Source organism: Homo sapiens, chromosome 4, assembly GCF_000001405.40.
Source record: "Homo sapiens chromosome 4, GRCh38.p14 Primary Assembly".
Taxonomy (NCBI): domain Eukaryota; kingdom Metazoa; phylum Chordata; class Mammalia; order Primates; family Hominidae; genus Homo; species Homo sapiens.
Window position 1 is genome coordinate 55506157 of NC_000004.12, and position 15244 is coordinate 55521400.

Sequence of the window (15244 nt, forward strand, 5' to 3'; positions counted from 1 at the left end):
AGCTGTCATGTCTACCCAGACTTCTTTAAGCTGAAACACTTTTCTTTCAGTAAATATCTTTTGTTTTGTTTTTTTGAGACAGGGCCTAACTATGTTGCCCAGGCTGGTCTTGAACTCCTAGGTTCAAATGATCTTCCTGCCTCAGCCTCCTGGGTAGCTGGGACTAGGGGTGCATACCAACACACCCGGCTTCTGCTAAATACCTTTTAAACAATCTTATCTTTACATGGTATCCTGCAAGATAAGATTTTAAAAGTGGAATTCTTAAAAAAAACCATATAGGGAAGTTCCATTAAAAAAAGAGGTTCAGTGTAAGAGCTGCGAAAAGTTCAGAAGACTTAAATAAAAAAAATACATAAATCTTCCTATTCAAGAGTGGCTTTTTAGCATATGGTATTTATTTTATTTTATATTTTATTTTTTTTAATTTTTTTTGAGATGGAGTCTCGCTCTGTCCAGGCTGGTGTAATCTCGGCTCACTGCAACCTCTGCCTTCCGGGTTCCAGCAATTCTCTGTCTCAGCCTCCCAAGTAGCTGGGATTACAGGCTCCCGCCACCACACCTGGCTAATTTTTTGTATTTTTAGTAGAGATGGGGTTTTACCACGCTGGCCAGGCTGGTCTCAAACTCCTGACCACAGGTGATCCACCCACCTCGGCCTTCCAAAGTGCTGGGATTACAGGCGTGAGCCACCACGCCCGGTCTATAGTATATACATTTTAAAGCTTTATAATGAGGAGGTTTCCAGGTTTCTTTGAGATCAGCAATTCTTAGATTAGAGGTTTATATTCTCTCTATTAAATAGCAATATACAATCAATTTATACAAATAAATTTGGCCAATGATTTGATTGGTATCTGCAGAAAATGGACCTAGGCTGGGCACGGTGGCTCATGCTTGTAATCACAGCACTTTGGGAGGCTGAGGCAGAAGGACCACTTAAGTCCAGGAGTTCTAGAGCAGCCTAAGCAGCATAGTGAAACCTCATCTCTACAAAAAATAAACAAAGTTAGCTGGGCATGGTGGTATGCACCTATAGTCTCAGCTACTCAGGAGGCTAAGGTGCGACGATCGCTTGAGCCTGGGAGATGCAGTGAGCTGAGATCATGCCACTGCACTCTGGCGTGGGTGACAGAGCAAGACCGTGTCTCAAAAAGAAAAAAAGGTAGGGGGGAGCCAGGCATGGTGGCTCACACCTGTAATCCCAACACTTTGGAAGGCTGAGGTTGGGGGAACACCTGAGGTCAGGAGTTCAAGACCAGCCTGTCCAACATGGCAAAACCCCATCTCTACTAAAAATACAAAAATTTGCCAGGCATGGTGGCGCATGCTTGTAGTCCCAGCTACTCAGAAGGTTGAGGCACGAGAATCACTTGAACCCAGGAGGTGGAGGTTGAAGCCAAGAGAGCACCACTGCACTCCAGCCTGGGTGACAGAGCAAGATTCTGTCTCTAAAATAAATAAATAAAATAACTTTTTAAAAAAGGATCTACAGAAAATTACTATTTTCATCAAAATTCTCTCCTCCAGTTAACAAAAACACCCAGTCTCAATAAGCAAACCTTTAAAGAATGGGGAATGATTTTGATCATGCATAGACATAACAGTTATTGGAACTGGCACATACCTTGTTCTTTCACTGGACACTTACTGTGTGCCAAATATGTGCCAGGCCTATGCTAACTGTGGAGTTGAGAAATCCAGTGGTGAGCTAAAAAGGCACAGAACCCACTCTTAGGAAACTGGTAATTTAGCAAACCACCAAGACTCCTGTTTTCAGACAGTAAAGGTATTAGTTTTCCCTAATTTGGAAATGAAGCAATTAGATTCAGAGTGGTAAATGTGCCCCGAGTCACATAACTAAGTGTTCTCAAGGGACAAAGAAGGTAAACACAAAAATTATGGTCTTCTATCTCCTAATATAGTACTTAACCTGCCTGTGTCTGACTACAAAAGAGTTACTTAACCATATCCTTTAGGCCTATCCATTGACTCCAAAGGGACAGTGTACTTTCATCTCCAATGAACTACTTTTGTTTCATTGAGTCAGTCATCAACTAATCTTTTAAGTACTTAAGATGTTAGGTATGTAAGGTATTATAGTAACATTAAAACTTGGTTAAAAACAGAGCAGCATACTAATTTTCTTTCTACATATTCCCACATATTCATTTTAGAATAAAAATAATAGAAGAATCCATTTCCCCTGATTTACTATTTTAAAATGACACAGGTCAATATAATTAGAATATGTGTAATACTTTCCACTAAAGAAAAAAGTATAATTAAGTCACTGAGAATTGGCATGGACTCCTATCTCTCTCTAATTTCCCCCCAATTCATCTCTTAAACCATAGCACTCAAATCTATAAATACTCCTTCAGCCATGTAGAGCAAGGATCAGCTAAACTTATTCTGTAAAGGGCCACACGGGTAAATTTTTTTTTTTTTTTTGAGACGGAGTCTTGCTCTGTTGCCCAAGCTGGAGTGCAGTGGCATGATCTCGGCTCACTGCAAGCGCCGACTCCCGGGTTCACGCCATTCTTCTGCCTCAGCCTCCTGAGTAGCTGGGACTACAGGCGCCTGCCACCACGCCTGGCTAATTGTTTGTATTTTTAGTAGAGACGGAGTTTCACCGTGTTAGCCAGGATGGTCTCGATATCCTGACCTCATAATCTGCCTGCCTCGGCCTCCCAAAGTGCTGGGGTCTCTGCTGTAACTACAGACATATGTCGTGGGGATACATTTTGAGAAATGCACAGGCAATCTGTCATTGTGTCAACATCACAGACTATTTCTATACCTAGATGGTATAGCCTACTATACACCTAGACGATCTGGAATAGCCTATTGCTCCTAGGCTACAAACCTGCACAGCATGCAATGGTACTGAATACTCAAGGCAACTGTAACACAATATAAGTATTTGAGTATCTAAACATATCTTAACATAGAAAAGGTAATGGGTTGTGCCATGATGACATGATGGCCATGATGTTACCAGGCAATAGCAATTTTTCAGCTCCATTATAATCTCATGGGACCACTGTCGTATATTTGGTCCATCACTGACCATGTAATGCATGACTGTACTTAACTGCTGCTATAGCCTAAAAGCAGTCATACACAAAACCTAAAAAATAAGAATGGCTAATGTTCTAATAAAGCTTTACTCATAAACACTAAAAATTAAATTTCATATAACTTTCACGTGTCACAAGTTAGTCTTCGAGATTTTTTTTCAACCATTTACAAATGCAAACACCACTCTTAGCTCATGAGTCATACCAAAGCAGGCACCAGGCTGAATAAATTTGGTGGTGTGCAGACCCCAGTGAAGGCCTGCTTGTAAAGAGGAGCTGCAGTCTGGCTCTTCTTTTACCTCAGTCAGCTGACACTTTATCTCTATAGCTAAGGCCTGGCAGGAAATAATTCTTACTCGACTTTCAGTCATTTGCAAATCATCTTCCTTAAACTCAGGAAAAGGTAAGTTATGACTCTTACTTTTGAGCACTAGTTTTGAGAAATTTCAGGAATTGCTAAAATACTTTACATCTGGATTTCAATTATTTTTCCCAATAAATAACCTTCTTACTCCTCATAAGAATGAAAATTCTAAAGATAAATAAAAGCTGCCAAGGAAAGTAGCAGATCATTACCCAAGTATTTTTATAATTCCTTGTCCTATGCTTCCACCGGTACACTGCAAATTCCACCCAACCATGATTAAGGGAAAAGAAACAAAGATAGCATACCTTTGAGCTCAAAATGATGATTGAAGGTATCTAGTGAGACTTGCCAAGTTCTAAAGATTCATTTAAGAGGACTGTAGAATTATCCAAAGGCATCTTACAATGTGATAGAATCAGCTTCTGAGCTCCAGCAGCTTTGCAGGAACAAGTAAAAATTCTGCAAAGAAACAGTACTTACTGAAATAATGCTAACCAATTTAAGTAACATTATTATCACTAGTATTTTTGTTTCATCGACGTATAGAACATTTATTGCGAGCCTCCTCTACGTGCCAAGAATTGGGAATGTGTCAATAAATAGATCAGATCTCATCAACCCCTCTGGGAACTCAACCGTAAATGGGACAAAAAGTTTGAAAAATCACGATGGTGTGAAGGGAAAGCATAACAGAGATACAAACCAGTTTGCTGGAAATTGGTTAGAAAAGTTCTCCTGGGACGGGTGCGGTGGCTCATGCCTGTGATCCCAGCACTTTGGGAGGCCGAGGCAGGCAGATCACTTGAAGCCAGGAGTTCAAGATCAGCCTGGCCAACATGGTGAAACCTCGTCCCTACTAAAAATACAAAAATTAGCCAGGCATGGTGGCATGCACCTATAATCCCAGCTACTAGGGAGGCTGAGGCAGGAGAATAGCTTTAACTCGGGAGATGGAGGTTCCAGTGAGCCGAGATTGCGCCACTGCACTCCAGCCTGGGCGACAGAACAAGACTCTGTCTTTTTAAAAAAAAAAAAAAAAAAAAAAAAGGTTTCCCTAAAGGAAGAGAATTTAATGCAAGAATGTGTATGATCTAGCCAAATAAAGCAAGAGGGAAGAGGTGAGAAAGAAAATTTTTTGTCCAAAGGGAACAGTGTGTTCAAATGGCTAGGTGTAGGTGAAAATATGACATTTGTGTGGAAGTAAAAGAAGTCCAATGTAGATGTTCAGAATGAAACAGGAAATGAGAAAGGGCATTTCCTGAGACAAGATGGGCAAAGAAAGAAAGCAAAAGGTGAAGCAATTTGCCCTGAATCACACAGGGCTAAAGGCAGAGCCCATTTTAAACCCTTACCACTTGACTGCAATATACTAGCCATTCTGAAATTCTAAGCAGGAAACTAAAAGTTCCTAGAGAGGAATTTCAGGGGACCTTTGCAAGAGCCCAAGGAATGACTGCCCTGGGCCAATAGCTGACCTTGCCATGGATGGATAAAAGAATCAACTGATCATCAAGCGTCCATTGTGCAGAATGAGAAAAAAGTCTCATCACAATTCTCAACTAATAATTAACAATTACTAAGCACTTTACTATGTGTAAAGCCCTGTTTTAAGCACTTGACATATATTTATTCAATCCTCACAACATCACTATCAAGCAAGTGCTTTCATTATCCTATCTATCTAATTTTAATGACACAGTCCAATCATGGCTATTAATTTTCTTGTACTGACAACAAGAAATGTCAACAATACTTCTTGACACAATATTGAAAGCACTTTAGTGACTCTTCTTTCAGAAAAGTACTGCTCAAATATCAACAAAAAAAGACTTTAGAACATTAATTTGGTTCCTTTAGCTTTTCTAATTTAATACCACTGTTTCAGGTCCACATAAAAAACTGAGGGTAAAGTACAGAGATTTCCCATTGACTCCATTAATGCACAGCCTTCCCCATATTCAACATTCCCCACCAGAGTGGTACATTTACTACAACTGACAAACCTACACTGACACATCCTTATCACCCAAAATTTTAGGCTTCACTCTTAGTGCTGTACATTTTATGAATTTGGACAAACATAATGGCATGCATCCACTATCATATCACACCGAATAGTTTCATCGGCCTAAAAGCCCTCTGTGCTCTGCATATGCATCCCTCCCCTCACTAACCCCTACACCACATTCATTTTTTTATTACCTCCATAATTTTGCCTTTTCCAGAATGTCATGAAGTTGGAATCATACAATATGTAGTAGCCATTTCAGACTGGCTCCTTTCACTTAGTAAATACACATTTAAGATTTCTCCATGTCTTTTCACGGCTTGATAATTTCTTTTTGGCACTGAATGATATATTCCATTGTCTGAATATACCACAGTTTATCCGCTCACATAATGAAAGACATTTTGGTTGCTTCCAAGTTTTGGCAATTATTGAAAAGGATGCTATAAACTTCCATATAAAGATTTTTGTATGGATAGAAACTGTCAATTCTTTGGTTGCTAGATCATATGGTAAGACTATGTTTAGTTTCGTAAGAACCTGCCAAACTGCCTTTCAATGAGGCTGTACCATTTTGCATTCTAACCAGCAATGAATGAGAGTTCCTGTTGTTCCACATCCTCACCAGCACTGGATGTAGTTAGTATTTTGGATTTTCACCATTCAAATATGTATGTAGTAGTATCTCATTTTAATTTGCATTTCCATGATGACAGATGATATAGTGCATCTTTTCACATGCTTCTTGAGGTTTGTATATCTTCTTTGGTAAGGTTATCTGTCAGTGTACCTGGCCCATTTTTTAACTGGTTTGTTGGTTCTCTTACTGTTAAGTTTTAAGAGTCCATTGTGTACTTTGGATAAAAGTCCTTTATCAAATATGTCTTTTGCAAATATCTTCAAGTCTGTGGTTTGTCTTTTTATTCTTTTGATAAGTACCTCTCACAGAGCAGACATTTTTAATTAAATTTAATTTTTTCTAACACGGAATACGTCTTTGATGTTGAGGATAAAAACTCGCTGCCAAACCCAGTCATCTAGATATTCTCTTACGTTATCTTCTAGGAGTTTTATACTTTTACAATTTACATTTAGGTCTCTGATCCATTTTGAGTTAATTTTTATGAAGGGTATAAGGTCTGTCGAGATTCATTTTTTTGCACATAGACAGTTGCTCCGGTACCATTTGTTGAAAACTATCTTTTCTCCATTGTATTGTCTTTGTTCCTCTGTGAACCATTAGTTGACTATGCAATCATGAATTGCATTAACAATGTTTCAGGACAGACCGTATATATGACAGTGGTCCCATAAAATTATAATATGGAGCTGAAAAATTCCTATTGTCTAGTGACTTTATAGCTGTTGTAGCCATTCATAACATTGTAATGCAATTGCTTTTTAAATACATTTAGTGTAGTCTAAGTGTACAGTGTATATAAAGTCTACAGTAGTGTACCCTAATGTCCTAAGCCTTCACATTCAATCATCACTCACTCACTGACTCACCCTACGCAACTTCCAGCCCAACAAGCTCCATGGTAAGTACTCTATATAAAGTATACCATCATCTTTTAAACTGTATGTTTACATTCCTTTTCTACATTCAGATACACAAACTCTTACTGTTATATTAAAATTACCTATAGTATTCACTACAGTTAACATGCTGTACAGTCTAGTAACAGTAGGCTACACCATACAGCCTAGGTGCAGAGCAGGCTATACATCTAAGTTTGTGTAAATATACTCTATGTTATTTGAACAATGACAAAATCATCCAACAATGCATTTCTCATCTCAGAATGTATCCCTGTCATTAAGTGACACATGACTGTACTGATGTGGATCTATTCCTGGTCTCTCTATTCTGTTCCACTGATCTATTAAAATATTTGTCTATGCTTTCACCAATACCACACTGCTTGATGACTGTAGTTGTAAAGTAAGTCTTGAAGTCAGGCAATGTTGGATCTCCAATTTTGTTCTTTTCTTTCAATTTTAAGTTGCCTATTCTGGGTCTTTTGCCTCTCCATATAAACTTATTGGAATCAGTTTGTTAATATCTACAACAAACTGCAATTTTGACTAGAATTATATTCAGTCTACAAATAAAATTGTGAAGAACTGACACCTTGTTAATATAGTCTTCCTATCCATGAACATGTTATTTAGTTATTGTTTATCAGAGTTTTGAAGTTTTCTTTGTACATATTTTATATATATTTTATTAGATTTATACCTAAGTATTTATTTTGGGAGATATTAATGTAATGGTATTGTGTTTTTAATTTTAGAATTCCACTTGTTCACTGCTGGTATATAGGAATATAATCTACTTTTGCATATTAACCTTGTATCCTGCTACCTTGTGCTTATTGGTTCCAGTTTGTCAATTCTTTTGGATCTTCTACATAGACAATCATATCATCTTGCAAACAAAATGAGTTTTATTTCTTCTTTCCCAATCAGTATACATTTCTTTTCATTTTTTTATCTTACTGCATTAGCTAGAACTTCCAGTATGATGTGAAAAGGAGTGGTAAAACGGGACATCCTTATCCTGTTCCTGATCTTACTGGGAATCTTAAGTTCTAGATTCTCACCATTACATAAAACGTTAGCTATAGTTTTATTCTCACATTCATAAAATACTTTTAATCTTCCATTCATATCCCAATACCAACACCTAATTCAGTGACGCTCTTTACTGCATTTAGGCTGTTATGTCCCCTTACCTCTTTTGAAAAAATTATTATTTACCACTCTGAAGCACAATTCACATACTATAACACTCACCCATTTAAAACCTACAATTCAGTATTTTTTAGTGTATTTACAGAGTTGTGCAACTATCACTACAATCTAATTTTAGAACATTTTTATCCCCCCCCCACTTTGCTGAGCTGTAGATTTTTTTAATAGATGTTCTTTCTCAAGTTGAAGAAGTTTCTCTCTATTCCAAGTTTTACAGTTACAGAGTTTTTTTTTAAATCATGAATGGGTGTTGGGTTCTGTCAAATGTTTTTTAAACATCTATTGATATGATCATATGATTTGGTTTTCTTTAGCCAGTTAATGTAATGGATTAATTTCTTACATGCCTTGGATAAATCCCACTTGATCACAGCATATAGTTCATTTTATAAATGTTGAATTTGATTTGCTAATATTTTGTTGGGGATTTTTGCATTTATGTTCATAAGAGATATTGGTCTACAGTTTTCTTTTCTTGCAATATCTTTGTCTGGTTTTAGGATTAGAGTAATACTGGCCTCACAGAATAAGTTAGAAAGTATTCCCTCTGCTTCTGTCTTGCAAAAGAGAATGTTAACATTGGTGTAATTTCTTCCTTAAATGTTTGGTAGAATTAGAACTCACCAATGAACCCATCTGGACCTGGTGATTTCTATCTTAAAAGATTATAAATAATTGTTGACTCAATTTAATAGATATAGGCCTATTCAGATTGTCTACTTCTTGTATGACTTTTGGCAGATTGCGTCCTTCAAGGAATTGGTCCATTTCATCTAGGTTATCAAATTCGTGGGCACAGAGTTGTTCATAATATTCCTTTATATTTTTAATATAAATGGAAATCTGTTATGATTTCTACTTTCATGTCTTCTATTAGTAATATTAGCGTATCCTTTTTCCTTAGTTAGCCTAGCTGGAAGCACATCAATTTTATTAATCTCTTCAAAGAACCAGCTTTTGGTTTTGTTGATTTTCTCTATGATTTCTTATTTTCCATTTCACTGGCTGTTTTGTTTGTTTTGAGATGGAGTCTTGCTCTGTCACCCAGGCTGGAGTGCAGTGGCACAATCTCGGCTCACTGCAGCCTCCGCCTCCCGGGTTCAAGCGATTCTCCTGCCTCAGCCTCCCAATTAGCTGGGACTACAGGCGCCTGACACCATGCCTGGTTAATTTTTTGAATTTTTTGTATTTTTAGTAGAGACGGGGTTTCACCGTGTTAGCCAGGATGGTCTCAATCTCCTGACCTCGTGATCCACCCACCTCTGCCTCCCAAAGTGCTGGGATTACAGGCGCGAGCCACCACGCCCAGCCTCTGCTCTAATTTTTATTGTTTCCTTTCTTCTGCTTACTTTGTATTTAATTTGCTCTACTTTTTGTAGTTTCCTAAGGCAGAAACTTTGGTTTTAGATCTTTACTCTTTTCTATGTATTCCACGCTATAAATTTCCCTCTAGGCATTCCATTTGTTGCATCCCGCATATTTTGTTAAGTTGTTTTCATTTTCATTTAGTTCAAAACATTTTTAGATTTCTCTTGATACATCAGTGTAGTGTGGCAAAAAAAGATGAAAATAAAAATTTTTTTAATAGATTTCTTGAGAATCTTTGACCCATGTGTTGTTTAATCTTCAAGTATTTGGGGATTTTCCAGCTGTTACTGATTTCTACTTTAATTATATTGTGGTCTGAGAACAGATACTGTCTGATTTCTATTCTTTTAAATTTGTTAAGGTGTTTTATGGCCCAAAATGTTGTCTCTTGTGGTGAGTGTTCCATGTAGGCTTGAGAAGAATGTGTATTGTGCTGTTGTTGGATGAAGTAGTCTATAGATGTCAATTATATCAAGTTGTTTGACAGCACTGTTGAATTCATCTATGTTTTTACTGGTTTTCTGCCCGCTACATCTGTCCATTTCTGATAATGGGGTATTAAAGTCTCCATTATAAGAGCAGATTAATCTGTTTCTCCTTGCAGTTCTGTTTTTGCCTCACATACTTACATGCTCCACTGTTAGCTGCACAGATGTTTAGGACTACTATATCTTCTTGGAGAACTGACCCATTTATCATTATTTATGCAATGCCCCTCTTTATTCCGGATAACTTCCTTGCTCTGAGAGCTGCTCTGTCTGAAATTAATATAGCTATTCATGCTTTCTTTCGGTTAGTGTTAGCATATTGTATTTTTCTCCATCCATTTTCTTTTAATCTATGTATCTATATTTAAAGTGGGTTTTTTTGGTAGACAACATAAAGTTAAGCCTTGATTTTTCATCCACTCTGGCACTGTCTTTTAATTGGTGTGCTGAGATCACTAACATTTAAAGTGATCATTGATACAGTTAGATTACTAGCTACCATATTTGTGATTGCTTTCTGTTCTTTATTCCTATTTTAGTCTTCCAGTCTTTTTCTGCCTGTTGTAGTTTTACATGATTCTATTTTCCTCTCCTTTCTTGGTATACTTTTTTGCTTTTTTGTTTTACTTTTTTTAGTAGTTGCCCTGGAGTTCACAATACACATTTACAACTAATCTAAGTCTACTTTCAAATAACACTAAACCACTTTATGGGTAGTACAAGTACCACGTAATAATCCTAATACCTCCCTCCTATCCTTTGTATCATTCCTGTCATTCATTTCACTTTTACATAAGCGCATACATACATACGTGTATATATAAGCATACATAATTGAATACACTGTTGATAACATTATTTTGGACAAACCATCAGTTAAAAAGATAATGATTTTTCCTTAAGCCTGTTAATGTGGTGGATCACACTGATTTTTGAATATTTAACCTGCCATGTATCCCTAGAATAAACTCCATGTGATTACTATAGTGTAAGATTCTTTTGGCCGGGCACGGTGGCTCACACCTGTAATCCCAGCACTTTGGGAGGCCGAGGTGGGCGGATCATGAGGTCAGGAGATCGAGACCATCCTGGCTAATACAGTGAAACCCTGTCTCTACTAAAAATACAAAAAATTAGCCGGGTGTGGTGGCACGGGCCTGTAGTCCCAGCTACTCAGGAGGCTGAGGCAGGAGAATCACTTGAACCCGGGAGGCAGAGGTTGCAGTGAGCCGAGATCACGCCACTGCACTCCAGCCCGGGCAACAGAGCCAGACTCTGTCTCAAAACACAGAAGATTATTTTTATATTTTGCTGAATTCTATTTGCTAATATTTTGTTAAGGATTTTTGTGTCTCTATAAAGAATATTGGTTTTTAATTTGTTGTTTCTGTTCTGCCTTTGTCTGGTTGCAGTATCAGGATAATACTTGAAATGTTCCCTTCTCTTCTGTTTTTTAGAAGAGACTATGTAGATTAGACTCTGCAGTGAAACCAACTGGGCCTAGAGATATCTTTTTGGGGAGTTTCAGAATTACAAAATCAATTTGCTTAATGGTTATGGGATAGTAGTAGTAGAATGTTGGCTTTTTCATTACTCTCATACATTGCTGGTGGGAGTATAAATTGATATAAACTTTATAGAGAACATTATGTCAATACCCTTAACAAAATTACAAATGTTTTTACCCTTTGGTACAGAAATATAGGGGTTATAACCAGCATTTTAAAAATGAAACATGGTGGGGGGTGGGGAGTCGGATCGCAGGACACCTAGTTATGGTAAAGGGTATTTCCTGAAACTGTTGTTTCAGATATGTGTGTATGAGTGTACTAGGTCATAACATAAAATATATTTCTTACTATGAGTTGTGGTCATAGAAGTTTGGGAGCTATTGTTTCAGCTTTAAAAGGATAACCTGAGGCAAAAATTATAAGCTGACACTTAGGGAAGGGAGGGTATAATGTCAGGATATGAAGAGAAAGTTAAATAAGGCAGATAAGGAGACAAAGCAAACGTGAAATATGACATTACCAAGCTATGCAGAGCCATGAGAAAACTGGCCTATTTGGGGTAAATGCAGAGGAGAGAGGACGGGGAGAATTTATCTGACCAGTGCTAAAGAGACATAAGAGATCTGGCAAAGATTTTCCCACAGGGTATTAATCCCTAAACAAAAATGCCAAATATTTATTGTTTTCCTCATGACACTATCTTTGCTTAAAAGGTTGACTGTAGACATTCATTGTGCTCAGACTTCAAAGAACTATATCAGTGCTATGGTCTAAATGTTTGTGCCCCTCCAAAATTCTTATGTTGAAACTTAATCCCCAATGTGACAGTATTAAGACATGGGGCCTTTGGATGGTGATTAGGTCATGAGGGCTCCACCCTCATCAATGAGATCAGTGCCCTTATAAAAGGCCTGAGGGAGCTTGTTCCCCTCCCTTTCCATCATGTGAGGACACAGCAACAAGGCACCAGAATGGGCCTTCACCAGATACTGCATCTACTAGCACCTTGATTTTGGACTTCCCAGTCTCTAGAACTGAAAACAATAAATTTCTGTTGCTTATAAATTACTCAGACTAAGATACTTTGTTACAGCAGCCAAATGGACTAAGACAACCGACAAGCTATAAGAGGCAGTTCCAATGCCCCTGGATGACACTGAATCCCAGATCATCAATGAGTACCCTCATGTCAATACATTTTCCTCAAGCTAACCTTATATTCTGCCCCCCACCCAATCCAACACCTTTCAAAACATTCTCATACCTGTTTCCTTGGTTTCTCCAGATGCTTATTATTCAAGTCCTGCAATTTTATTTTATTTTACTTTTACTTGATAGGGTTTCGCTCTGTTGCCCAGGCTGGAGTGCAATGGAGCAATCATAATTGACTACCGCCTCAAACTCCTGGGCTCAAGTGATCCTCCCGCCTCAGCCTCTGGAGCAGCTAGAACTACAGGCACAAACCACTATACCCAGCCAATTTTTAAAAAAAGTTTTTTGTAAAGACAAGGTCTCACTATGTTGCCCAGGCTGGTCTCAAACTCCTAGCCTCAAGTGGTCCTCCTGCCTTGGCTTCCCACAGCACTGGGATTGTAGGTGCAAGCCACTGAGCCTGCAGTCCTGCAATTCTTTTTGTATATAGGATAGTTCTTTCCAGAGCAGGGCTTGTAATTCTCTTCTTGGGATGTGCTAAGACCCTGACTATAGTTATTAACCAGAGGATAATGAGTCATAGTAGAGGCAGATCTTAAGAATAAATGTCATTGGACCAGGCGTGGTAGCTCATGCCTGTAATCCCAGCACTTTGGGAGGCCAAGGTGGGCAGATCACCTGAGTTGAGGCATTCGAGACCAGCCTGACCAACATGGTGAAAATACAAAAATACAAAAATTAGCCGGGCGTGGTGGTGCACTTCTGTAATCCCAGCTACTCAGGAAGCTGAGGCAGGAGAACCAATTGAACCCGGAAAGCGGAGACCGCAGTGAGCCGAGATTGGCCACTGCACTTCAGCCTGGGTAACAGAGCAAAAATCTGCCTCAAAAAAATAAAAAATAAAAATAAAAATAAATAAACATCATTGAACATTTATGGGGTCACTGCACAGTCTTCAAGCAATGATGACAGGAGGGGTGGCAGGGGGTCTTTCCTCTGCCAAAGGGAAATGGGATGCTTCTCCTTGCCAGGAAGCTTCAGCATGAATTGTAGGATTAAAAATTCTGAAGTACAGGGATCCACTCTTTCCCTATTAGGGCCCTGACTTAGACACACAACACCTGCAAAGGTTGCATATTTAGTCTTCTCTGCAGTTGTATCACCTTAATAATCCGATTCAAGGCCAACATTTTAGCATAGTCTCCCTGAAGTCAACAGGATAAGATTCTGTTATCCTATAAAACTGTCATAGAAGCCCTCTGGGTTCCACAGTATGCCTTAAATTGGCAATTAGTTGTGCTAAATCTAACCACTTTTTTAAGGCCACCAACAAAAACAACCTCATACCACAATCCTTAAAATTATCACTGCCCCCACACCGATCAAGTGAAGTATCTGTTTTCTCCCAAAACCTTGACTTCTATGAGCCTCACTCCCATTAATTACAGATGAAAGCTTTAGAATTACAATGCCAACTGTATCCAAGGGTCATCAACACCTCATTTACTAACAGCAATAGTTTCCCCTAATATGCAGATGAACTGGTGAAAATTCAACTCCAAAAATGGCATTATGAGGATCTGCTTTTGTAGTATGAACTACTCCTAGAAAACAACACCTGAGGCAAAACAGACTGTTGACACAGGTATCCCACAGCTTCAAATTTATATTAATTTTACAATATACATTTAAAATAAATAAATCCACAGTAGACATACAGGGTTTTTCTCCCTCCCAAATCTTTTTAATACTAAGGTTCAGTTCTAAGGAAACAAAGTGAGGTAATGTTAAACTCATACAAGCTACAAATTTTAGAGGTATTTTAAATACTCTTTCTCCCTTACTCCTTCACAATTTTCCCAATTCTGTGACTGGAATTAATCTTCATAAATTCCTCCTCCCATCCCCTGCCTCCAGCACCAGCCCTCTTGAATCCATCCCTTGCTTTATATCAGAAGACTCTAACATTCATATTTGATCATGTCACTCAAATTCCTTGAGATATAAAAATTGCTCCCTATAACAACTCCTTTGTGAACTCCAGATTTAGTCCCCAAGGTTCAGCCTTATCTCTTTCAAGTCTCTCATGATTTAACCTTTTCCATTTACTTGCTATTCCCTACATACATCAAATTTTGTCACACCTCCAAGTCTATGCTCACGGTTTTTTCAGTCTACAATATTTTTACAGATATTCTTACAAAAGTGCAATTTTAACGTTGGTAAAATGGTTTCTTTCTCAAATGTACTAGAAAAAAATTCAATTTTAAATGGAACTACAGTAATTTGTGTCCCTTAATTAATCTGTCACATAAATTCAAATTTCTATTTTTTTTGTGTTTTTTTGAGATGGAGTTTCACTCTTGTTGCCAGGCTGGAGTGCAATGGCATGATCTCAGCTCACTGCAACCCACACCTCCTGGGTTCAAGCGATTCTCCTGCCTCAGCCTCCCAAGTAGCTGGGATTACAGGCATGCGCCATCACGCCTGGCTAATTTTTTGTATTTAGC

General features: G+C 38.2%; 1 protein-coding gene across 16 annotated transcripts in view; it reads right to left on the minus strand.

The window, feature by feature from the left end:
- The window catches only part of CLOCK (clock circadian regulator), a 119007-nt gene that overhangs the window by 78254 nt on the left and 25509 nt on the right, over window positions 1-15244 (minus strand). For 10 of the 16 annotated variants that reach the window (NM_004898.4, XM_017008854.2, XM_047416433.1 and 7 more), the window contains one exon: window positions 3756-3909. The exons of the other annotated variants lie outside the window; for them this stretch is intronic. The gene's annotated coding sequence lies outside the window, so the exon portion shown is untranslated. The remainder of the gene's footprint in view (window positions 1-3755; window positions 3910-15244) is intronic. 16 annotated transcript variants of the gene reach the window in all.